Raw genomic sequence first — 26,216 nt, 5'->3', positions numbered from 1 at the left:
TTATGTATTGACTATTTTGTTTCTCTTTCCATTCAGGTTATATTTAAAAAGAAAGTTTCTCTTTTGAATATTGCCACAAGAATAACGGGCGGTGGGAAATCTGGAACAGGTAATTTGGCAATACACATTTAATGTCATGTGCACTCAAGACAGAAGAGAACGTCCCACCCCTGAATAGATCAGTGGAGTGTCATTGAAAATGCACTTTCTGATTAAGCAGGCCTGAGATTGTGCATTTCTAGTAAGTTGTCAGGTGGTGCTGATGCTGCTGGTCCTTGGCCATGATCTTAGTAACAAGCTTGTAGAGTTCCCTACATTGAATTTGGATGGAAGAACCATTGGAAAACAGTTCAAGACATAAGAGGATCGGAGGACAGCATAATTTTGCTCTTATTTCAGAGCATGTTTCTATGGAGAGGGGAAGGAGAAAGAGAAGAAGTAACAGAAATTATAGATGTCAGATGGTACTGCTAAAACCAGAGGGAGGAAATTGTTATAATAACCTGTAAACACTGGAGAATGAGAAACAAAGTGACCACTGATGTAGTAATTATTTTCATCAAGAAAGAGGGATTGCAAGGCAAGAAAGAGGGGAAGGAAGAAGTTATTTAGGTAATTTTGGGGTTTCTGCTGAGGAAACCTGAGTGAACTCACTTCAGATGCATTTAGAATGTTTGCATACCAGAAGATTTGATTTCTGACTGCTCCGATGACTACCGGAATCAGGAAGGAGTGCTAGAGTTGGGATAAACCACAGTGCCTCATTCCTGTTTATTAGTATCAGACATCAGACATATATTTTTTATTAGTTATTCAAATGAGTTAAAATTTAATACGACTATATTAGCTTTTTTCCAAAGTGCTGGCTTTTTCATTAAAATAGCTATTTAGTGAAAATTCTTTATAATACAATGATATTCCAGAGCAGACTAATTTTGCAGACAAAAATAATGTTAAATGTATTAATTGAATCCTAAAATGGTTATTTTCAATGAATATTGGACTGATATCCAAACGTAAAAGTTTATTAATATCTAATGCCAGGAGCCATTGCATTTTGTATAAATATGTGTAATTTATTGTACTTTTTGATGAGGTTTATATATTATACCTTCTTGCCATTAGTGGATGAAGAAAATTACTGAAGGCTAAACTAGAGGATACAAGAAATGTAGGCAGATTATTCCACCACATGTGTATGATAAATAATGAATACTATCTACTAGGATTCACCAACCATATATCCAAGCTGATCAATTTAGGTCCCTTCCACTTAAGAGACATGAAGTGTATATTCAACTGAAGTGTCATTGTAATTGTGTACCTTCTCAGTTATCAGGCAAGTTAAAGAGCATGATGAATGTTTGTAGTATACTAGTGTAAATCCTTTTGATAGCTTGCATGAAAGACATGGAGGATCATGTAGCACCTGCTTTGACATTGATTCTCAGGTGTATGAGTTGCTCCTCTGATTTTAGATCACATTTGTCCTCATCATTCGACATATTCACATTGATACTAACACTGTTTCATTTTAGTTTTAGACATATGAAAAATCATACCATGATTGACATTGTAAGGGTTTATTTTGTGAAACCTGTATTTCTTTTTTTTCAGTGTATTTCTGTCATGTTCCAGTCCCCAGACACAAAAATCAAAGCCTATACTAATACAGGCAGGAGCATACAGCTTGATTCTAACACTTCATGAATGTATAGATAACTTTATCATATTTACATATGAGTGATTATGTATCCCTTTTGCTTTTCAGTGTCTTCTCAGAAACAACCACCCTCAAAGGTAATTAAACTCTCATTTATATTTTGTATTAGTAACTGTATAGTCCATGAAACATACTTTCTTTATTGATAATTTGCTTCAAATTACTTTCAGGCTACAAGTGACAAGACAGATTCTGCTTTGAATATAGCTACAGAAATAAAGGATGGACTACAATGTGGGACAGGTAATTTTGCAAAACACATTAAATGTCATGTTCAGTCCAGATAGAAAAGAACTTCTCTTCCCTGAATAAATCAGCGGGGGGCTCATCAAAGCTGCACATTCTGATTCAGCAGGCCGGAGATTCTTCATTTGTAATAAGTTCTCGGGTGACGCTGATGCTGCTGGTCTTGGACATGATCTTCGCGGTAAGATTATAGACTTCCCCACATTGAAATTGGGAAGAAGAAACATTGGAGAGCAGATCAAGACATAAGGGGCTCAGGGTACAGCATAATTTTGCTTTAATTCTACAGCATGTTTTCACCAAGGGTGGAAGGAGAATGAGTTGAAGTATAGATTTTACAGACGTCACATCGTATTGCTAAAAACAGATGGAAAAGTGATCATAATAACCAGTAAAAATTGTAGAACGAGAACTAATGAGACCACTGATGTAGCAATGATTTTCCTCAAGGAAGAGGGATTGTGAGGCAGGAAAGAGGGAAAAGAAGAAGTTATTTATGTAATTTTGGGGTTTCTGCTGAGGAAACCTGAGTGAACTCACTTCAGATGCATTTAGCATATTTACACAAAAAAGATTTGATTTTGGCAGCTCCAGGAACTACTGGATGAAGCAAAGAAAGCTAGAATTGGGATAAACCACATTGACTAATTACTTCTCTTTGCTACTATTAGGCATAAGACATATATCTTTTGTTGATTTTTGTTATAAAAATTAGATAAACTTGAATATCAATACATTGGCTTCTTTCATCAAAGAGCTATCTCACGGATAAAATAACTATTTAATGAATATTATTTAGAGAATAGTATGATCCTCCTAACAAGACAATTTTAAAAACAAATATAATGTTGAGTTCATCAACTGACTCTTAAAATGGTCATTTTCAATGAATATTGGAGTGATTTCCAAATATAAAAGCTTATCAATATCCAATGCTTTTAGCAGTTTTATTTAGTAGAAGTATGTCAAAATTGATAATTGATGATGCTTTTTATTGAGGTTTATATATCATACTTTGTTGCCATGAGTGGATGAAGAAATGTCTGGGAAGGCTAAACTAGAGAATACAGGAAACTTAGGCAAATTGTTGCACCACATGGATATGAGAAATAATGAATATTATTTACTCGGATTCAGGAAACATATATCCAAGCTGAGCAATTTAGGACACTTCACTGAAGAGACAGAGACATGAGGTGTACATTCAACTGAAGTGTCACTGTAAATGTGTACCTTCTCAGTTACTGGGCAAGTTAATGAACATGATGAATGTTTGCAGTATAATGGTGTAAATCATTTGGATATCTTGCATAAAAGACAAGTGGGTGCATGTGCCACCTGCTTTGAGATTTTCCCAGGTGATTGAGTTTCCCCTCTGATTTTTGATCACATTTGTCGTGATCACTTGGCATACCCTTTTTGATATTCACACTGATTTATTTTTCTTTTAGATATACGAGAAATCATATTATGTTTGAAATAGTTAGGAATATATCGTGACACATCAATTCCTGTTTTCTTTAGTATATTTCTGTCATGCTCCTGGCTTAAGACATAAAGTAGAAAACATCAAAGCCTACACTAATACAGGCAGGCAGATACAGCTTGATGCTAACACCGCATGAATGTATGGAAAATGTATCATATTTACATATGAGTGATTATCCCTTTTGTTTTTCAGTGTCTTCTCAGAAACAACCAGCCTTGAAGGTAATTAAACTTTCATTTATATTGTGAACTAGTGAATCTATAGTCTATGAAACATGCTTCATTTATTTATTTATTTATTATTTTCTTTCAAATTCCATTCAGGCTACAACTGACGAGGAAGATTCTGTTTCGAATATAGCCACAGAAATAAAGGATGGAGAAAAATCTGGGACAGGTAATTTTGCAAAAGACATTTAATGTCATGTTCAATCCAGATAGAAAAGAACTTCTCTACCCCGAATAAATCAGTGGAGGGCAGGTGGGGGGGCTCGCCGAAGCTGCACATTCTGATTCAGTAGGCCTGAGAGTCTTCATTTGTAATAAATTCTTGGGTGACGCTAATGCTGCTGGCTTGGAACGTGATCTTTGCAGTATGATTATACACTTCCCCACGTTGAAATTGGGAAGAAGAAATATGGAGAGAGGTTCAAGACATAAGGGGCTCTGGGGAACAGCATAGTTTTGCTTTAATTCTACAGCATGGTTTCACTAAGGGTGGAAGGAGAAAGAGAGGAAGTATAGATTTTACAGACATCACATCGTACTGCTGAGAAAAGACAGAAAACTGATAGTAATAACCCATAGACACTGTAGAATGAGAACTAAGGAGATCCCTGATGTAGCAATTATTTTCCCAAGGAAGATGGATTGTCAGACAGGAAGGAGGGAAAAGAAGTTATTTATATAATTTAGGGGTTTCTGCTGAGGAAATCTGAGTGAACTCACTTCACATGCATTTGGAATATGTGCCTAAAAAATATTTGATTTTGGCAGCTCCAGGAACTACTGGAAGCAGGAAACAATGCTAGAATTGGGATAAAGCACACTGACTCATTACTCCTTTTTGTTACTATTAGGCATCAGAGATACATGTTTTGTTGACTTATAAAAATGAGATAAACTTGAATATGAATACATTGGCTTCCTTGTTCCAGGAGCTATCTCTTGGATAAAATAGCTATTTCATGAAACTTCTTTAGAGACTAACATGATACTCCCAAGAAGTATCATGTTTTAGAAACAAAAATTATGTTGAATTCTAATTAACTCCTAAAATGGTCATTTTCAATGAATATTGCAGTGATTTCTGAATGAAAAACTGCTCAATATCTAATGCTTGTAGCAGTTTTACTTTGTAGAAGTATGTCAAAATTGATAGTTGATGATATTTTTATTGAGGCTAATATATTATCCTTTGGTGCCATGACATGATGAAGAAAGTTTCAGAGGGATAAACTAGTGGATACAAGAAACTTAGGCAAATTATTACACCACATGGGTGTGAGAGATAATGAATATTATCTACTAGGTATCAGCAAACAGATATCCAAGGTGATCAATTTAGGACACTTCCACTGAAGGGGATGTGAAGTGTACATTCAACTGAAGTGCCATGGTAACTGTGTGCCTTCTCAGTTATTGGGCAAGTTAAAGAGCATGATGAATGTTTGTAGTATAATGATGTAAATTCTTTTGATTTGTTGCACGAAAGACATGTGGGATCATGTAGCACCTGCTTTGACATTGATTCTCACGTGTATGAGTTGCTCCTCCGATTTTAGATCAGTTTGTCCTCATCACTCGGCATATCCACGTTGATATTGACACGGTTTTATTTTAGTTTTTGACGTATGATGAATCATACCATGTTTGAAATTGTAAGGATATATTTGATGGAGCCTGTATTCCCTCTTACCAGTGTATTTCTGTCATGTTCCAGTCCCAAGACACAAAGTAGAAGACATCAGAGCCTACACTAGTACAGGCAGAAGGATACAGCTTGATGCTAACACTGTGTGAATGTATGGATAACTTTATCATATTTATATATGAGTGATTATGTATCCCTTTTGCTTTTCAGTGTCTTCTCAGAAACAACCAGCCTTGAAGGTAATTAAACTCTCATTTACATTGTAGTCTATGACACATACTTCATTGATTTATTTATTTATTATTTTCTTTCAAATTCCATTCAGGCTACAACTGACGAGGAAGATTCTGTTTTGAATATAGCCACAGAAATAAAGGATGGAGAAAAATCTGAGACAGGTAATTTGCAAAACACATTCAATGTCATGTTCAATCCAGATAAAAAAGAACTTCTCTATCCCGAATAAATCAGCGGAGGGTGGGTGGGGGGAGTCGCCGAAGCTGCACATTCTGATTCAGCAGGCCTGAGATTTTTCATTTGTAATAAATTTCTTGGGAGACGCTAATGCTGTTGGCCTGGAACATGATCTTTGCAGTAAGATTATACACTTTCCCACATTGAAATTGGGAAGAAGAAATAGGGAGAGCAGTTCAAGACATAAGGGGTTCTGGGGAACAGCATAGTTTTGCATTAATTCTACAGCATGGTTTCACTAAGGGTGGAAGGAGAAAGAGAGGAAGTACAGATTTTACAGACGTCACATCGTACTGCTAAGAAAAGACAGAAAACTGATATTAATAACCTATAGACACTGTAGAAGGAGAACTAAGGAGACCCCTGATGTAGCAATTATTTTCCCAAGGATGATGGATTGTCAGGCAGGAAGGAGGGAAAAGAAGTTATTTATATAATTTAGGGGTTTCTGCTGAGGAAATCTGAGTGAACTCACTTCACTTGCATTTGGAATATGTGCTTAAAAAATATTTGATTTTGGCAGCTCCAGGAACTACTGGAAGCAGGAAACAATGCTAGAATTGGGATAAAGCACACTGACTCATTACTCCTTTTTGTTACTATTAGGCATCAGAGATACATGTTTTGTTGACTTTACTTATAAAAATGAGATAAACTTGAATATGAATACATTGGCTTCCTTGTTCCAGGAGCTACCTCTTGGGTGAAATAGCTATTTCATGAAACTTCTTTAGAGACTAACATGATACTCCCAAGAAGTATCATGTTTTAGAAACAAAAATTATGTTGAATTCTAATTAACTCCTAAAATGGTCATTTTCAATGAATATTGCAGTGATTTCTGAATGAAAAACTGCTCAATATCTAACGCTTGCTGCAGGTTTACTTTGTAGAAGTATGTCAAAATTGATAATTGATGATATTTTTATTGAGGCTAATATATTACCCTTTGGTGCCACGACTTGACGAAGAAAGTTTTGGAGGGATAAACTAGTGGATCCAAGAAACTTAGGCAAATTATTACACCACATGGGTGTGAGAGATAATGAATATTATCTACTAGGTATCAGCAAACAGATATCCAAGGTGATCAATTTAGGACACTTCCACTGAAGGGATGTGAAGTGTATGTTCAACTGAAGTGTCATGGTAACTGTGTGCCTTCTCAGTTATTGGGCAAGTTAAAGAGCATGATGAATGTTTGTAGTATAATGGTGTAAATCCTTTTGATTTCCTGCATGAAAGACATGTGGGATCATGTAGCACCTGCTTTGACATTGATTCTCACATGTATGAGTTGCTCCTCCGATTTTAGATCAGTTTGTCCTCATCACTCGGCATATCCACATTGAGATTGACACGGTTTTATTTTAGTTTTCGACGTATGACGAATCATACCGTGTTTGAAATTGTAAGGATATATTTGATGGAGCCTGTATTCCCTCTTACCAGTGTACTTCTGTCATGTTCCAGTCCCAAGACACAAAGTAGAAGACATCAGAGCCTACACTAGTACAGGCAGAAGGATACAGCTTGATGCTAACACTGTGTGAATGTATGGATAACTTTATCATATTTACACATGAGTGATTATGTATCCCTTTTGCTTTTCAGTGTCTTCTCAGAAACAACCAGCCTTGAAGGTAATTAAACTCTCATTTACATTGTATTCTATGACACATACTTCATTGATTTATTTATTTATTATTTTCTTTCAAATTCCATTCAGGCTACAACTGACGAGGAAGATTCTGTTTCGATTATAGCCACAGAAATAAAGGACGGAGAAAAATCTGGGACAGGTAATTTTGCAAAAGACATTTAATGTCACGTTCAATCCAGATAGAAAAGAACTTCTCTACCCTGAATAAATCAGCGGAGGGCGGTTGGGGGTGCTCGCCAAAGCTGCACATTCTGATCCAGCAGTCCTGAGAGTCTTCATTTGTAATAAATTCTTGGGTGGCGCTAATGCTGCTGGCTTGGAACGTGATCTTTGCAGTATGATTATACACTTCCCCACGTTGAAATTGGGAAGAAGAAATATGGAGAGAGGTTCAAGACATAAGGGGCTCTGGGGAACAGCATAGTTTTGCTTTAATTCTACAGCATGGTTTCACTAAGGGTGGAAGGAGAAAGAGAGGAAGTATAGATTTTACAGACGTCACATCGTACTGCTGAGAAAAGACAGAAAACTGATAGTAATAATCCATAGACACTGTAGAATGAGAACTAAGGAGACCCCTGATGTAGCAATTATTTTCCAAAGGATGATGGATTGTCAGACAGGAAGGAGGGAAAAGAAGTTATTTATATAATTTAGGGGTTTCTGCTGAGGAAATCTGAGTGGACTCACTTCACATGCATTTGGAATATGTGCTTAAAAAATATTTGATTTTGGCAGCTCCAGGAACTACTGGAAGCAGGAAACAATGCTAGAATTGGGATAAAGCACACTGACTCATTACTTCTTTTTGTTACTATTAGGCATCAGAGATACATGTTTTGTTGACTTTACTTATAAAAATGAGATAAACTTGAATATGAATACATTGGCTTCCTTGTTCAAGGAGCTACGTCTTGGATACAATAGCTATTTCATCAAACTTCTTTAGAGAACAACCTGATACTCCCAACAAGGCTATTTTAGAAACAAAAATGCTGGATTCTAATTAACTCCTAAAATGGTCATTTTCAATGAATATTGCAGTGATTTCTGAATGAAAAACTGCTCAATATCTAACGCTTGTAGCAGTTTTACTTTGTATACGTATGTCAAAATTGATAATTGATGATATTTTTATCGAGTCTAAAATATTATCCTTTGGTGCCACGACTAGATGAAGAAATTATAGGAAGGCTAAACTAGTGGATCCAAGAAACTTAGGCAAATTATTACACCACATGGGTGTGAGAGATAATGAATATTATCTACTAGGTATCAGCAAACAGATATCCAAGGTGATCAATTTAGGACACTTCCACTGAAGAGATGTGAGTGTACATTCAACTGAAGGGTCATCGGAATTGTGTGCCTTCTCAGTTATTGGGCAAGTTAAAGAGCATGATGAATGTTTGTAGTGTAATGGTGTAAATCCTTTGGTTTCTTGCATGAAAGACATGTGGGATCACGTAGCACCTGTTTTGACGTTGATTCTCACGTGTATGAGTTGCTCCTCTGATTTTAGATCACATTTGTCCTCATCACTCAGCATACCCACCTTGATATTGACACGGTTTTATTTTAGTTTTCGACACATGACAAATCATACCATGTTTGAAATTGTAAGGGTATATTTCATGGAGCCTGTGTTCCCTTTTTTCAGTGTATTTCTGTCATGTTCTAGTCCCCAGACACAAAGTAGAAGCCATCAAAGCCTCCACTAATACAGGCAGGAGTTCAGAGGTTGATGCTAACACTGTGTGAATGTATGGATAACTTTATCATATTTACGAGTGAGTGATTACGTGTCCCTTTTGCTTTTCAGTGTCTTCTCGGAAAAAACCAGCCTTGAAGGTAATGAAACTCTCATTTATATTGTGAGCTAGTAAACGTATAGCCTATGAAACATACCTTATTTATTATTTTGTTTCAAATTCCATTCAGGCTACAAGTGATGAGAAAGATTCTTTTTCGAATATAACCAGAGAAAAAAAGGATGGAGAAATATCTAGGACAGGTAATTTTGCAAAACACATTTAATGTCATGTTCAGTCCAGATAAGAAGTTCTCTTCCCCGAATAAATCAGTGGGGGGCTGGTCGAAGCTGCACATTCTGATTCAACAGGCCTGAGATTCTTCATTTCTAATAAGTTCTTGGGTTACGCTGTTGCTGCTGGTCTGGAACATGATCTTCGCTGTAAGATTATACACATCCCCACATTGCAATTGGGAGGAAGAAATATGGAGAGCAGTTGAAGACATAAGGGGCTCTGGGGCACAGCATAATTTTGCTTTAATTCTGTAGCATCTTTTCATTAAGGGTGTAAGGAGAAAGGGAGGAAGTACAGATTTTACAGACGTCACATCATAGGGCTAAAAACAGACAGAAAAGTGTTCATAATAACCGGTAGACACTGTAGAAGGAGAACTGAGGAGACCCCTGATGTAGCAATTATTTTCCGAATGAAGATGGATTGTGAGGCAGGAAGGTGGGAAAAGAGGAAGTCATTTATATAATTTTGGGGTTACTGCTGAGGAAACCTGAGTGAACTCACTTCAGATGCATTTGGAACATTTCCATAAACAATATTTGATTTTGGCAGCTCCAGCAATTTCTGGAAGCAGGAAACAGTGCTTGAATTGGCATAAAAACACAATGACTCATTACTCCTCTTTGTTACTATTAGGCATCAGAGATACATGTTTTGTTGATTTTAGTTATAGAAATGAGATAAACTTAAATATGAATAGGTTGGCTTACTTGTTCAAGGAGCTACCTCTTGGATAAAATAGCTGTTTAATGAAACTTCTTTAGAAAATAACATGATACTCCTAACAAGGCTATTTTAGAAACAAAAATTATGTTGCATTCTAATTAAGTCCTAGAGTGATCATTTTCAATGAATACTGGAATGATTTCTGAATGTAAAACTTATTAATATCTAATGCTTGTAGCAGTTTTACTTTGTAGAAATATGTCAAAATTGATAATGGATGATATTTTTATTGAGGTTAATATATTATCCTTTGGTGCCATGAGTGGATGAAGAAACGTTTGGAAGGCTAAACTAGTGGATGAAAGAAACTTAAGCAAAGTATTACACCACATGGGTGTGAGAGATAATGAATATTATGTACTAGGTATCAGCAAACAGGTATCCAAAGTGATCAATTTAGGACACTTCCACTGAAGAGATGTGAAGTGTAAGTTCAACTGAAGTATCATCGGAATTGTGTGCCTTCTCAGTTTTTGGGCAAGTTAAAGAGCATGGTGAATGTTTGTAGTATAATGGTGTAAATCCTTTTGATTTCCTGTGTGAAAGACATGTGGGATCATGTAGCACCTGCTTTGACATTGATTCTCAGGTGTGTGAGTTTCTCCTCTGATTTTAGATCACATATGTTCTCATCACCCGGCCTATGCACATTGAGATTGACACGGTTTTATTTTAGTTTTCGACATATGACAAATCATACCATGTTTGAAATTCTAAGACTATATTTCATGGAGCCTGTATTCCCGTTTCTCAGCGTATTTCTATCATGTTCTAGTCCCCAGACACAAAGTAGAAGCCATCAAAGACTACGCTAATACAGGCAGGAAGACAGAGGTTGATGCTAACACTGCATGAATGTATGGATAATTTTGTCATTTTTACATATGAGTGATTATGAATCCCTTTTACTTTTCAGTGACTTCTGAGAAACCAGCAGGCTTGAAGGTAATGAAACTGTCATTTATATTGTGACCTAGTAAATGCATAGTCTATGAAACATACTTTATTAACTTATTATTTCATTTCAAATTCCATTCAGGCTACAAGTGACGAGGAAGATTCTGTTTTGAATATAGCCAGAGGAAAAGAGGATGGAGAAAAAACTAGGAGAGGTAATTTTGAAAAGAGATTTAATGTCATGATCAGTCGAGATAGATAAGAAATTCTCTTCCCTGAAGAAATCAGCGGGGGGCTCGTTGAAGCTGCACATTCTGATACAGCAGTCCTGAGATTCTTCATTTCAAATAAGTTCTTGGGTGATGCTGATGCTGCTGGTCTGGAACATCATCTTCGCTGTAAGATTATACATTTCCCCACATTGAAACTGGGAAGAAGAAATATGGAGAGCAGTTCAAGGCATAAGGGGCTCTGGGGAACAACATAATTTTGCTTTAATTCTCCAGCTTGTTTTCAGTAAGGGTGGAAGGAGAAAGAGAGGAAGCATAGAATTTACACACTTCAGATCATACTGCCAAGAAAAGACAGAAAGCTTGTAACAACCCATAGACACTGTAGGAGAACTAAGGAGACCCCTGGTGTAGCAACTATTTTCCTAAGGAAGACGGATTGTGAGGCAGGAAGGTGTGAAAAGAGGAAGTCATTTATATAATTTTGGGGTTTCTGCTGAGGAAACCTGAGTGAACTCACTTCAGATGCATTTGGAATATTTTCATAACAAATATTTGATTTTGGCTGCTCCAGGAACTACTGGAAGCAGGAAACAATGGTATAATTGGAATACACCACAGTGACTCATTACTCCTCTTGGTTACTAGGAGGCATCAGAGATACATGTTTTGTTGATTTTAGTTATAAAAATGAGATAATCTTGAATATGAATAAATTTGCTTCCTTGTTCAAGGAGCTACCTCTTGGATAAAATAGCTATTTAATGAAACTTCTTTAGAGAATAACACGATACTCCCAACAAGAGTATTTTAGACACAAGAATGATGTTGAATTCTAACTAACTCCTAAAATGGTCATTTTCAATGAATATTGCAGTGATTTCTGAATGAAAAACTGATTAATATCTAATGCTTGTAGCCATTTCACTTTGTAGAAGCATGTCAAAGTTGATAATTGATGATATTTTTATTGAGGCTAATATATTATCCTTTGGTGCCAAGAGTGGATGAAGAAACTTTCGGAAGCCTAAACTAGTGGATACATGAAACTTAGGCAAATTATTACACTACATGGGTGTGAGAGATAATGAATATTATCTACTAGGTATCAGCAAACAGATATCCAAGGTGATCAATTCAGGACACTTCCACTGAAGAGATGTGAAGTGTACATTCAACTGAAGTGTCATCGTAATTGTGTGCCTTCTCGGTTATTGGTCAAGTTAAAGAGCATGATGAATGTTTGTAGCCTAATGGTGTAAATCCTTTTGATTTGTTGCATGAAAGACATATGGGATCATATAGCACCTGTTCTGACATTGATTCTCACGTGTATGAGTTGCTCCTCTGATTTTAGATCACATTTGTCCTCATCACTCAGCATATCCACATTGATATTGACACGGTTTTATTTTGGGTTTCGACACGTGACAAATCATACCATGTTTGAAATTGTAAGGGTATATTTCATGGAGCCTGTGTTCCCTTTTTTCAGTGTGTTTCTGTCACGTTCTGGTCCCCAGACACAAAATAGAAGCCATCAAAGCCTCCACTAATACAGGCAGGAGGTCAGAGGTTGATGCTAACACTGTGCGAATGTATGGATAACTTTATCATATTTACGTGTGAGTGATTATGTATCCCTTTTGCTTTTCAGTGTCTTCTCGGAAAAAACCAGCCTTGAAGGTAATGAAACTCTCATTCATATTGTGAGCTAGTAAACGTAAAGCCTATGAAACATACCTTATTTATTATTTTGTTTCAAATTCCATTCAGGCTACAAGTGATGAGAAAGATTCTTTTTCGAATATAACCAGAGAAAAAAAGGATGGAGAAACATCTAGGACAGGTAATTTTGCAAAACACATTTAATGTCATGTGCAGTCCAGATAAGAAGTTCTCTTCCCCGAATAAATCAGTGGGGGGCTGGTCGAAGCTGCACATTCTGATTCAGCAGGCCTGAGATTCTTCATTTCTAATAAGTTCTTGGGTTATGCTGATGCTGCTGGTCTGGAACATGATCTTCACTGTAAGATTATACACATCCCCACATTGCAATTGGGAGGAAGAAATATGGAGAGCAGTTGAAGACATAAGGGGCTCTGGGGTACAGCATAGTTTTGCTTTAATTCTGTAGCATCTTTTCATCAAGGGTGTAAGGAGAAAGATAGGAAGTACAGATTTTACAGACGTCACATCGTAGTGCTAAAAACAGGCAGAAAGCTGTTCATAATAACCCATAGACACTGTAGAAGGAGAACTGAGGAGACCCCTGATGTAGCAATTAATTTCCGAATGAAGACGGATTGTGAGGCAGGAAGGTGGGAAAAGAGGAAGTCGTTTATATAATTTTGGGGTTACTGCGGAGGAATCCTGAGTGAACTCACTTCAGATGCATTTGGAACATTTGCATAAACAGTAATTGTTTTTGGCAGCTCCAGCAACTGCTGGAAGCAGGAAACAGTGTTTGAATTGGCATAAAAACTCAATGACTCATTACTCCTCTTTGTTACTATTAGGCATCAGAGATACATGTTTTGTTGATTTTAGTTATAGAAATGAGATAAACTTGAATATGACTACGTTGGCTTCCTTGTTCAAGGAGCCACCTCTTGGATAAAATAGCTGTTTAATGAAACTTCTTTAGAAAATAACATGATACTCCTAACAAGGCTATTTTAGAAACAAAAATTATGTTGCATTCTAATTAAGTCCTAGAGTGATCATTTTCAATGAATACTGGAATGATTTCTGAATGTAAAACTTATTAATATCTAATGCTTGTAGCATTTTACTTTGTAGAAATATGTCAAAATTGATAATTGATGATATTTTTATTGAGGCTAATATATTATCCTTTGGTGCCATGAGTGGATGAAGAAACGTTTGGGAGGCTAAACTAGTGGATGAAAGAAACTTAAGCAAAGTATTACACCACATGGGTGTGAGAGATAATGATTATTATCTACTAGGTATCAGCAAACAGGTATCCAAAGTGATCAATTTAGGACACTTCCACTGAAGAGATGTGAAGTGTAAGTTCAACTGAAGTATCGTCGCAATTGTGTGCCTTCTCAGTTATTGGGCAAGTTAAAGAGCATGATGAATGTTTGTAGTATAATGGTGTAAATCCTTTTGATTTGTTGCACGAAAGACATGTGGGATCATGTGGCACCTGCTTTGACATTGATTCTCAGGTGTCTGAGTTGCTCTTCTGATTTTAGATCACATTTGTTCTCATCACTTGGCCTATGCACGTTGAGATTGACACGGTTTTATTTTAGTTTTAGACATATGAGAAATCGTACCGTGTTTGAAATTGTAAGGGTATATTTCATGGAGCCTGTATTCCCTTTTCTCAGTGTACTTCTGTCATGTTCTAGTCCCCAGACACAAAGTAGAAGCCATCAAAGCCTGCGCTAATACAGGCAGGAGGACAGAGTTTGATGCTAACGCTGCATGAATGTATGGATATCTTTGTCATATTTACATATGAGTGATTATGAATCCCTTTTGCTTTTCAGTGTCTTCTCAGAAACCACCAGCCTTGAAGGTAATGAAACTCTCATTTATATTGTGAACGAGTTAATGTATGGTCTATGAAACATACTTTATTTATTTATTATTTCGTTTCAAATTCTATTCAGGCTACAAGTGACGAGGAAGATTCTGTTTTGAGTATAGCCAGAGAAGAAAAGGATGGAGAAAAATCTAGGACAGGTAATTTTGAAAACAGATTTAATGTCGTGTTCTGTCCAGATAGATAAGAAGTTCTCTTCTCCAAATAAAGCAGCGGGTGGCTCGTCGAAGCTGCACTTTCTGATTCAGCAGGCCGGAGATTCTTCATTTGTAGTAAGTTGTTGGGTGATGCTGATGCTGCTGGTCTGGAACATGACCTTGGCTGTAAGATTATACAGTTCCCCACATTGAAGTTGGGAAGAAGATATATGGAGAGCAGTTGAAGACATAAGGGGCTCTGGGGAACAGCATAGTTTTGCTTTAATTCTCCAGCTTGTTCTCAGTAAGGGTGGAAGGAGAAAGAGAGGAAGTATCGATTTTACAGACGTCACATCGTACTGCTAAGAACAGACAGAAAACTTGTTGTAATAACCCGTACACACTGTAGGAGAACTAAGGAGGCCCCTGGTGTAGCAATCATTTTCCCAAGGATGACGGATTGTGAGGCAGGAAGGTGTGAAAAGAGGCAGTCATTTATATAATTTTGGGGTTTCCGCTGAGGAAACCTGAGTGAACTCACTTCAGATGCATTTGGAATATTTTAATAAAAAATACTTGATTTTGGCTGCTGCAGGAACTGCTGGAAGAAGGAAACAATCCTAGAATTGGCATAAAAACACACTGACTCATTACTCCTCTTTGTTACTATTAGGCATCAGAGATACATGTTTTGTTGATTTTAGTTACAGAAATGAGACAAAGTTGAATCTGAATACATTGGCTTCCTTGTTCAAGGAGCTACCTCTTGGATACAATAGCTATTTCATGAAACTTCTTTAGAGAACAACATGATACTCCCAACAAGGCTATTTTAGAAACAAAAATTATGCTGGATTCTAATTAACTCCTAAAATGGTCATTTTCAATGAATATTGCACTGATTTCTGAATGAAAAACTGATCAATATCTAATGCTTGTAGCAGTTTTACTTTGTATATGTATGTCAAAATTGATAATTGATGATATTTTTATTGAGGCTAATATATTATCCTTTGTTGCCACGACTGGATGAAGAAACTTTCGGAAGGCTAAACTAGTGGATACAAGAAACTTAGGCAGATTGTTACACCATATGGTTGAGAGAGATAATGAATATTATCTACTAGGTATCAGCAAACAGATATCCAAGGTGATTAATTTAGCACACTTCCACTGAAGTGATGTGAAGTGTACATTCAACTGAATTGTCGTCGTAATTGTGTGCCTTCTCAGTTATTGGGCAAGTTAAAGAGCACGATGAATGTTTGTAGTATAATGGTGTAAATCCTTTTAATTTGTTGCATGAAAGATAAGTGGGATCATGTAGCACCTGCTTTGACATTGATTCTCAGGTGTATGTGTTGCTCCTCTGATTTTAGATCACTTTGTCCTCATCACTCGGCATATCCACGTTGATATTGACATGGTTTTATTTTAGTTTTTGGCATATGACAAATCATACCATGTTTGAAATTCTAAGACTATATTTCGTGGAGCCTGTATTCCCTTTTCTCAGCGTATTTCTGTCATGTTCTAGTCCCCAGACACAAAGTAGAAGCCATCAAAGCCTACGCTAATACAGGCAGGAGGACAGAGGTTGATGCTAACACTGCATGAATATGTGGATAATTTTGTCATTTTTACATATGAGTGATTATGAATCCCTTTTACTTTTCAGTGTCTTCTGAGCAACCACCAGGCTTGAAGGTAATGAAACTGTCATTTATGTTGTGAACTAGTAAATGTATAGTCTATGAAACATACTTTATTAATTTATTATTGCATTTCAAATTCCATTCAGGCTACAAGAGATGAGAAAGATTCTCTTTTGAATATAGCCAGAGGAAAAAAGCATGGAGAAAAAACTAGGAGAGGTAATTTTGAAAAGAGATTTAATGTCATGTTCAGTCCAGATAGATAAGAAATTCTCTTCCGTGAATAAATCAGCGGGGGGCTCGTTGAAGCTGCACATTCTGATTCAGCAGTCCTGAGATTCTTCATTTCAAATAAGTTCTTGGGTGATGATGATGCTGCTGGTCTGGAACATGATCTTCGCCGTAAGATTATACACTTCCCCATATTGAAATTGGGAAGAAGAAATATGGAGAGCAGTTCAAGGCATAAGGGGCTCTGGGGAACAACATAATTTTGCTTTAATTCTCCAGCTTGTTTTCAGTAAGGGTGGAAGGAGAAAGAGAGGAAGTATAGAATTTACACACTTCAGATCGTACTGCCAAGAAAAGACAGAAAGCTTGTTGTAACAACCCGTAGACACTGTTAGGAGAACTAAGGAGACCCCTGGTGTAGCAACTATTTTCCTAAGGAAGACAGATTGTGAGGCAGGAAGGTGTGAAAAGAGGAAGTCATTTATATAATTTTGGGGTTTCTGCTGAGAAAACCTGAGTGAACTCACTTCAGATGCATTTGGAATATTTTCATAACAAATATTTGATTTTGGCTGCTCCAGGAACTACTGGAAGCAGGAAACAATGGTATAATTGGAATACACCACCACACTGACTCATTACTCCTCTTGGTTACTAGGAGGCATCAGAGATACATGTTTTGTTGATTTTAGTTATAAAAATGAGATAATCTTGAATATGAATAAATTTGTTTCCTTGTTCAAGGAGCTACCTCTTGGATAAAATAGCTATTTAATGAAACTTCTTTAGAGAATAACACGATACTCCCAACAAGAGTATTTTAGACACAAGAATGATGTTGAATTCTAACTAACTCCTAAAATGGTCATTTTCAATGAATATTGCAGTGATTTCTGAATGAAAAACTGATTAATATCTAATGCTTGTAGCCATTTCACTTTGTAGAAGCATGTCAAAGTTGATAATTGATGATATTTTTATTGAGGCTAATATATTATCCTTTGGTGCCAAGAGTGGATGAAGAAACTTTCGGAAGCCTAAACTAGTGGATACATGAAACTTAGGCAAATTATTACACTACATGGGTGTGAGAGATAATGAATATTATCTACTAGGTATCAGCAAACAGATATCCAAGGTGATCAATTCAGGACACTTCCACTGAAGATATGTTAAGTGTACGTTCAGCTGGAGTGTCATCGTAATTGTGTGCCTTCTCAGTTATTGGGCAAGTTAAAGAGCATGATGAATGTTTGTAGTATAATGGTGTAAATCCTTTTGATTTGTTGCATGAAAGACATGTGGGATCATGTAGCACCTGTTTTGACATTGATTCTCACGTGTATGAGTTGCTCCTCTGTTTTTAGATCACATTTGTCCTCATCACTCAGCATATCCACATTGATATTGACACGGTTTTATTTTGGGTTTCGACACATGACAAATCATACCATGTTTGAAATTGTAAGGGTATATTTCATGGAGCCTGTGTTCCCTTTTTTCAGTGTACTTCTGTCACCTTCTGGTCCCCAGAGACAAAGTAGAAGCCATCAAAGCCTCCACTAATACAGGCAGGAGGACAGAGGTTGATGCTAACACCGTGTGAATGTATGGATAACTTTATCATATTTACATGTGAGTGATTATGTATCCCTTTTGCTTTTCAGTGTCTTCTCGGAAAAAAGCAGCCTTGAAGGTAATAAAACTCTCATTTATATTGTGAGCTAGTAAATGTAAAGCCTATGAAACATACCTTATTTATTATTTTGTTTCAAATTCCATTCAGGCTACAAGTGATGAGAAAGATTCTTTTTCAAATATAACCAGAGAAAGAAAGGATGGAGAAACATCTAGGACAGGTAACTTTGCAAAACACATTTAATGTCATGTTCAGTCCAGATAAGAAGTTCTCTTCCCCGAATAAATCAGTGGGGGGCTGGTCGAAACTGCACATTCTGATTCAGTAGGCCTGAGATTCTTCATTTCTAATAAGTTCTTGGGTTATGCTGATGCTGCTGGTCTGGAACATGATCTTCACTGTAAGATTATACACATCCCCACATTGCAATTGGGAGGAAGAAATATGGAGAGCAGTTGAAGACATAAGGGGCTCTTGGGCACAGCATAATTTTGCTTTATTTCTGGAGCATCTTTTCATTAAGGGTGTAAGGAGAAAGAGAGGAAGTACAGATTTTACAGATGTCACATGATAGTGCTAAAAACAGACAGAAAACTGTTCATAATAAGCCGTAGACACTGTAGAAGGAGAACTGAGGAGACCCCTGATGTAGCAATTATTTTCCGAATGAAGACGGATTGTGAGGCAGGAAGGTGGGAAAAGAGGAAGTCATTTATATAATTTTGGGGTTACTGCTGAGGAAACCTGAGTGAACTCACTTCAGATGCATTTGGAACATTTCCATAAACAATATTTGATTTTGGCAGCTCCAGCAATTTCTGGAAGCAGGAAACATTTCTTGAATTGGCATAAAAACACAATGACTCATTACTCCTCTTTGTTACTATTAGGCATCAGAGATACATGTTTTGTTGACTTTACTTATAAAAATGAGATAAACTTGAATATGAATACATTGGCTTCCTTGTTCCAGGAGCTACCTCTTGGGTGAAATAGCTATTTCATGAAACTTCTTTAGAGACTAACATGATACTCCCAAGAAGTATCATGTTTTAGAAACAAAAATTATGTTGAATTCTAATTAACTCCTAAAATGGTCATTTTCAATGAATATTGCAGTGATTTCTGAATGAAAAACTGCTCAATATCTAACGCTTGCTGCAGGTTTACTTTGTAGAAGTATGTCAAAATTGATAATTGATGATATTTTTATTGAGGCTAATATATTATCCTTTGGTGCCATGAGTGGATGAAGAAACTTTTGGAAGGCTAAACTAGTGGATACAAGAAACTTAAGCAAATTTTTATACCACATGGGTGTGAGAGATAATGAATATTATCTACTAGGTATCAGCAAACAGGTGTCCAATGTGATCAATTCAGGACTCTTCCACTGAAGAGATGTGAAGTGTAAGTTTAACTGAAGTATCATTGCAATTGTGTGCCTTCTCAGTTATTGGCAATTTAAAGAGCATGATGAATGTTTTTAGTATAATGGTGTAAATCCTTTTGATTTGTTGCATGAAAGAAATATGGGATCATGTAGCACCTGCTTTGACATTGATTCTCAGGTGTGTGAGTTGCTCCTCTGATTTTAGATCACATTTGTTCTCATCACTCGGCCTATGCACATTGAGATTGACACGGTTTTAGTTTAGTTTTTGACATATGAGAAATCGTACCATGTTTGAAATTGCAAGGGCATATTTCATGGAGCCTGTATTCCCTTTTCTCAGTGTATTTCTGTCATGTTCTAGTCCCCAGACACAAAGTAGAAGCCATCAAAGCCTGCGCTAATACACGCAGGAGGACAGAGTATGATGCTAACTCTGCATGAATGTATGGATATCTTTGTCATATTTACATATGAGTGATTATGAATCCCTTTTGCTTTTCAGTGTCTTCTCAGAAACCACCAGCCTTGAAGGTAATGAAACTCTCATTTATATTGTGAACGAGTTAATGTATGGTCTATGAAACATATTTTATTTATTATTTCATTTCCAATTCCATTCAGGCTACAAGTGACGAGGAAGATTCTGTTTTGAATATAGCCAGAGAAAAAAAGGATGGAGAAAAATCTAGAACAGGTAATTTTGAAAACAGATTTAATGTCATGTTCAGTCCAGATAGATAAGAAGTCCCCTTCCCCAAATAAATCAGCGGGGGGCTCGTCGAAGCTGCACTTCCTGATTCAGCAGGCTGGAGGTTCTTCATTTGTAGTAAGTTCTTGGGTGATGCTGATGCTGCTGGTCTGGAACATGACCTTGGCTGTAAGATTATACAGTTCCCCACATTGAAGTTGGGAAGAAGATATATGGAGAGCAGTTGAAGACATAAGGGGCTCTGGGGAACAGCATAGTTTTGCTTTAATTCTCCAGCTTGTTCTCAGTAAGGGTGGAAGGAGAAAGAGAGGAAGTATCGATTTTACAGATGTCACATCGTACTGCTAAGAACAGACAGAAAACTTGTTGTAATAACCCATACACACTGTAGGAGAACTAAGGAGGCCCCTGGTGTAGCAATCATTTTCCCAAGGATGACGGATTGTGAGGCAGGAAGGTGTGAAAAGAGGCAGTCATTTATATAATTTTGGGGTTTCCGCTGAGGAAACCTGAGTGAACTCACTTCAGATGCATTTGGAATATTTTAATAAAAAATACTTGATTTTGGCTGCTGCAGGAACTGCTGGAAGAAGGAAACAATCCTAGAATTGGCATAAAAACACACACACTGACTCATTACTCCTCTTTGTTACTATTAGGCATCAGAGATACATGTTTTGTTGATTTTAGTTACAGAAATGAGACAAAGTTGAATCTGAATACATTGGCTTCCTTGTTCAAGGAGCTACCTCTTGGATACAATAGCTATTTCATGAAACTTCTTTAGAGAACAACATGATACTCCCAACAAGGCTATTTTAGAAACAAAAATTATGCTGGATTCTAATTAACTCCTAAAATGGTCATTTTCAATGAATATTGCACTGATTTCTGAATGAAAAACTGATCAATATCTAATGCTTGTAGCAGTTTTACTTTGTATATGTATGTCAAAATTGATAATTGATGATATTTTTATTGAGGCTAATATATTATCCTTTGTTGCCACGACTGGATGAAGAAACTTTCGGAAGGCTAAACTAGTGGATACAAGAAACTTAGGCAGATTGTTACACCATATGGTTGAGAGAGATAATGAATATTATCTACTAGGTATCAGCAAACAGATATCCAAGGTGATTAATTTAGCACACTTCCACTGAAGTGATGTGAAGTGTACGTTCAACTGAATTGTCGTCGTAATTGTGTGCCTTCTCAGTTATTGGGCAAGTTAAAGAGCACGATGAATGTTTGTAGTATAATGGTGTAAATCCTTTTAATTTGTTGCATGAAAGGTAAGTGGGATCATGTAGCACCTGCTTTGACATTGATTCTCAGGTGTATGTGTTGCTCCTCTGATTTTATATCACTTTGTCCTCATCACTCGGCATATCCACGTTGATATTGACATGGTTTTATTTTAATTTTTGGCATATGACAAATCATACCATGTTTGAAATTCTAAGACTATATTTCGTGGAGCCTGTATTCCCTTTTCTCAGCATATTTCCGTCATGTTCTAGTCCCCAGACACAAAGTAGAAGCCATCAAAGCCTACGCTAATACAGGCAGGAGGACAGAGGTTGATGCTAACACTGCATGAATATGTGGATAATTTTGTCATTTTTACATATGAGTGATTATGAATCCCTTTTACTTTTCAGTGTCTTCAGAGCAACCACCAGGCTTGAAGGTAATGAAACTGTCATTTATATTGTGAACTAGTAAATGTATAGTCTATGAAGCATACTTTATTAATTTATTATTGCATTTCAAATTCCATTCAGGCTACAAGAGACGAGAAAGATTCTCTTTTGAATATAGCCAGAGGAAAAAAGTATGGAGAAAAAACTAGGAGAGGTAATTTTGAAAAGAGATTTAATGTCATGTTCAGTCCAGATAGATAAGAAATTCTCTTCCGTGAATAAATCAGCGGGGGGCTCGTTGAAGCTGCACATTCTGATTCAGCAGTCCTGAGATTCTTCATTTCAAATAAGTTTGTGGGTGATGATGATGATGCTGGTCTGGAACATGATCTTCGCAGTAAGATTATACACTTCCCCATATTGAAATTGGGAAGAAGAAATATGGAGAGCAGTTCAAGGCATAAGGGGCTCTGGGGAACAACATAATTTTGCTTTAATTCTCCAGCTTGTTTTCAGTAAGGGTGGAAGGAGAAAGAGAGGAAGTATAGAATTTACACACTTCAGATCGTACTGCCAAGAAAAGATAGAAAGCTTGTTGTAACAACCCGTAGACACTGTTAGGAGAACTAAGGAGACCCCTGGTGTAGCAACTATTTTCCTAAGGGAGACGGATTGTGAGGCAGGAAGGTGTGAAAAGAGGAAGTCATTTATATAATTTTGGGGTTTCTGCTGAGAAAACCTGAGTGAACTCACTTCAGATGCATTTGGAATATTTTCATAACAAATATTTGATTTTGGCTGCTCCAGGAACTACTGGAAGCAGGAAACAATGGTATAATTGGAATACACCACCACACTGACTCATTACTCCTCTTGGTTACTAGGAGGCATCAGAGATACATGTTTTGTTGATTTTAGTTATAAAAATGAGATAATCTTGAATATGAATAAATTTGCTTCCCTGTTCAAGGAGCTACCTCTTGGATAAAATAGCTATTTAATGAAACTTCTTTAGAGAATAACACGATACTCCCAACAAGAGTATTTTAGACACAAGAATGATGTTGAATTCTAACTAACTCCTAAAATGGTCATTTTCAATGAATATTGCAGTGATTTCTGAATGAAAAACTGATTAATATCTAATGCTTGTAGCCATTTGACTTTGTAGAAGTATGTCAAAGTTGATAATTGATGATATTTTTATTGAGGCTAATATATTATCCTTTGGTGCCAAGAGTGGATGAAGAAACTTTCGGAAGCCTAAACTAGTGGATACATGAAACTTAGGCAAATTATTACACTACATGGGTGTGAGAGATAATGAATATTATCTACTAGGTATCAGCAAACAGATATCCAAGGTGATCAATTCAGGACACTTCCACTGAAGATATGTTAAGTGTACGTTCAGCTGGAGTGTCATCGTAATTGTGTGCCTTCTCAGTTATTGGGCAAGTTAAAGAGCATGATGAATGTTTGTAGTATAATGGTGTAAATCCTTTTGATTTGTTGCATGAAAGACATGTGGGATCATGTAGCACCTGTTTTGACATTGATTCTCACGTGTATGAGTTGCTCCTCTGTTTTTAGATCACATTTGTCCTCATCACTCAGCATATCCACATTGATATTGACACGGTTTTATTTTGGGTTTCGACACATGACAAATCATACCATGTTTGAAATTGTAAGGGTATATTTCATGGAGCCTGTGTTCCCTTTTTTCAGTGTACTTCTGTCACCTTCTGGTCCCCAGAGACAAAGTAGAAGCCATCAAAGCCTCCACTAATACAGGCAGGAGGACAGAGGTTGATGCTAACACCGTGTGAATGTATGGATAACTTTATCATATTTACATGTGAGTGATTATGTATCCCTTTTGCTTTTCAGTGTCTTCTCGGAAAAAAGCAGCCTTGAAGGTAATAAAACTCTCATTTATATTGTGAGCTAGTAAATGTAAAGCCTATGAAACATACCTTATTTATTATTTTGTTTCAAATTCCATTCAGGCTACAAGTGATGAGAAAGATTCTTTTTCAAATATAACCAGAGAAAGAAAGGATGGAGAAACATCTAGGACAGGTAACTTTGCAAAACACATTTAATGTCATGTTCAGTCCAGATAAGAAGTTCTCTTCCCCGAATAAATCAGTGGGGGGCTGGTCGAAACTGCACATTCTGATTCAGTAGGCCTGAGATTCTTCATTTCTAATAAGTTCTTGGGTTATGCTGATGCTGCTGGTCTGGAACATGATCTTTGCTGTAAGATTATACACATCCCCACATTGCAATTGGGAGGAAGAAATATGGAGAGCAGTTGAAGACGTAAGGGGCTCTTGGGCACAGCATAATTTTGCTTTATTTCTGGAGCATCTTTTCATTAAGGGTGTAAGGAGAAAGAGAGGAAGTACAGATTTTACAGATGTCACATGATAGTGCTAAAAACAGACAGAAAACTGTTCATAATAAGCCGTAGACACTGTAGAAGGAGAACTGAGGAGACCCCTGATGTAGCAATTATTTTCCGAATGAAGACGGATTGTGAGGCAGGAAGGTGGGAAAAGAGGAAGTCATTTATATAATTTTGGGGTTACTGCTGAGGAAACCTGAGTGAACTCACTTCAGATGCATTTGGAACATTTCCATAAACAATATTTGATTTTGGCAGCTCCAGCAATTTCTGGAAGCAGGAAACATTTCTTGAATTGGCATAAAAACACAATGACTCATTACTCCTCTTTGTTACTATTAGGCATCAGAGATACATGTTTTGTTGACTTTACTTATAAAAATGAGATAAACTTGAATATGAATACATTGGCTTCCTTGTTCCAGGAGCTACCTCTTGGGTGAAATAGCTATTTCATGAAACTTCTTTAGAGACTAACATGATACTCCCAAGAAGTATCATGTTTTAGAAACAAAAATTATGTTGAATTCTAATTAACTCCTAAAATGGTCATTTTCAATGAATATTGCAGTGATTTCTGAATGAAAAACTGCTCAATATCTAACGCTTGCTGCAGGTTTACTTTGTAGAAGTATGTCAAAATTGATAATTGATGATATTTTTATTGAGGCTAATATATTATCCTTTGGTGCCATGAGTGGATGAAGAAACTTTTGGAAGGCTAAACTAGTGGATACAAGAAACTTAAGCAAATTTTTATACCACATGGGTGTGAGAGATAATGAATATTATCTACTAGGTATCAGCAAACAGGTGTCCAATGTGATCAATTCAGGACTCTTCCACTGAAGAGATGTGAAGTGTAAGTTTAACTGAAGTATCATTGCAATTGTGTGCCTTCTCAGTTATTGGCAATTTAAAGAGCATGATGAATGTTTTTAGTATAATGGTGTAAATCCTTTTGATTTGTTGCATGAAAGAAATATGGGATCATGTAGCACCTGCTTTGACATTGATTCTCAGGTGTGTGAGTTGCTCCTCTGATTTTAGATCACATTTGTTCTCATCACTCGGCCTATGCACATTGAGATTGACACGGTTTTAGTTTAGTTTTTGACATATGAGAAATCGTACCATGTTTGAAATTGCAAGGGCATATTTCATGGAGCCTGTATTCCCTTTTCTCAGTGTATTTCTGTCATGTTCTAGTCCCCAGACACAAAGTAGAAGCCATCAAAGCCTGCGCTAATACACGCAGGAGGACAGAGTATGATGCTAACTCTGCATGAATGTATGGATATCTTTGTCATATTTACATATGAGTGATTATGAATCCCTTTTGCTTTTCAGTGTCTTCTCAGAAACCACCAGCCTTGAAGGTAATGAAACTCTCATTTATATTGTGAACGAGTTAATGTATGGTCTATGAAACATATTTTATT

At 36.7% G+C, this 26,216-nt stretch overlaps 1 protein-coding gene across 2 annotated transcripts in view; it reads left to right on the top strand.

Annotated features, from left to right (window-relative positions):
* The window catches only part of ANKRD36C (ankyrin repeat domain 36C), a 142,893-nt gene that overhangs the window by 66,364 nt on the left and 50,313 nt on the right, over positions 1–26,216 (top strand). Inside the window, exons 30-58 of one of the 2 annotated variants that reach the window (NM_001310154.3) lie at positions 37–109; positions 1,772–1,800; positions 1,894–1,966; positions 2,076–2,150; positions 3,651–3,679; positions 3,782–3,854; positions 5,541–5,569; positions 5,656–5,728; positions 7,419–7,447; positions 7,534–7,606; positions 9,290–9,318; positions 9,409–9,481; positions 11,158–11,186; positions 11,281–11,353; positions 13,026–13,054; positions 13,145–13,217; positions 14,893–14,921; positions 15,016–15,088; positions 16,764–16,792; positions 16,887–16,959; positions 18,639–18,667; positions 18,758–18,830; positions 20,509–20,537; positions 20,628–20,700; positions 22,380–22,408; positions 22,503–22,575; positions 24,255–24,283; positions 24,374–24,446; positions 26,125–26,153. In NM_001310154.3, coding sequence (NP_001297083.1) covers positions 37–109; positions 1,772–1,800; positions 1,894–1,966; positions 2,076–2,150; positions 3,651–3,679; positions 3,782–3,854; positions 5,541–5,569; positions 5,656–5,728; positions 7,419–7,447; positions 7,534–7,606; positions 9,290–9,318; positions 9,409–9,481; positions 11,158–11,186; positions 11,281–11,353; positions 13,026–13,054; positions 13,145–13,217; positions 14,893–14,921; positions 15,016–15,088; positions 16,764–16,792; positions 16,887–16,959; positions 18,639–18,667; positions 18,758–18,830; positions 20,509–20,537; positions 20,628–20,700; positions 22,380–22,408; positions 22,503–22,575; positions 24,255–24,283; positions 24,374–24,446; positions 26,125–26,153 — 1,503 coding nt within the window. The remainder of the gene's footprint in view (positions 1–36; positions 110–1,771; positions 1,801–1,893; positions 1,967–2,075; positions 2,151–3,650; positions 3,680–3,781; positions 3,855–5,540; positions 5,570–5,655; positions 5,729–7,418; positions 7,448–7,533; positions 7,607–9,289; positions 9,319–9,408; positions 9,482–11,157; positions 11,187–11,280; positions 11,354–13,025; positions 13,055–13,144; positions 13,218–14,892; positions 14,922–15,015; positions 15,089–16,763; positions 16,793–16,886; positions 16,960–18,638; positions 18,668–18,757; positions 18,831–20,508; positions 20,538–20,627; positions 20,701–22,379; positions 22,409–22,502; positions 22,576–24,254; positions 24,284–24,373; positions 24,447–26,124; positions 26,154–26,216) is intronic. The other variant, NM_001393982.1, reaches the window with a different exon arrangement.

The sequence above is a fragment of the Homo sapiens genome, chromosome 2 (genome assembly GCF_000001405.40).
Source record: "Homo sapiens chromosome 2, GRCh38.p14 Primary Assembly".
Classification (NCBI taxonomy): domain Eukaryota; kingdom Metazoa; phylum Chordata; class Mammalia; order Primates; family Hominidae; genus Homo; species Homo sapiens.
This window is presented reverse-complemented; position numbering and strand designations above follow the sequence as displayed.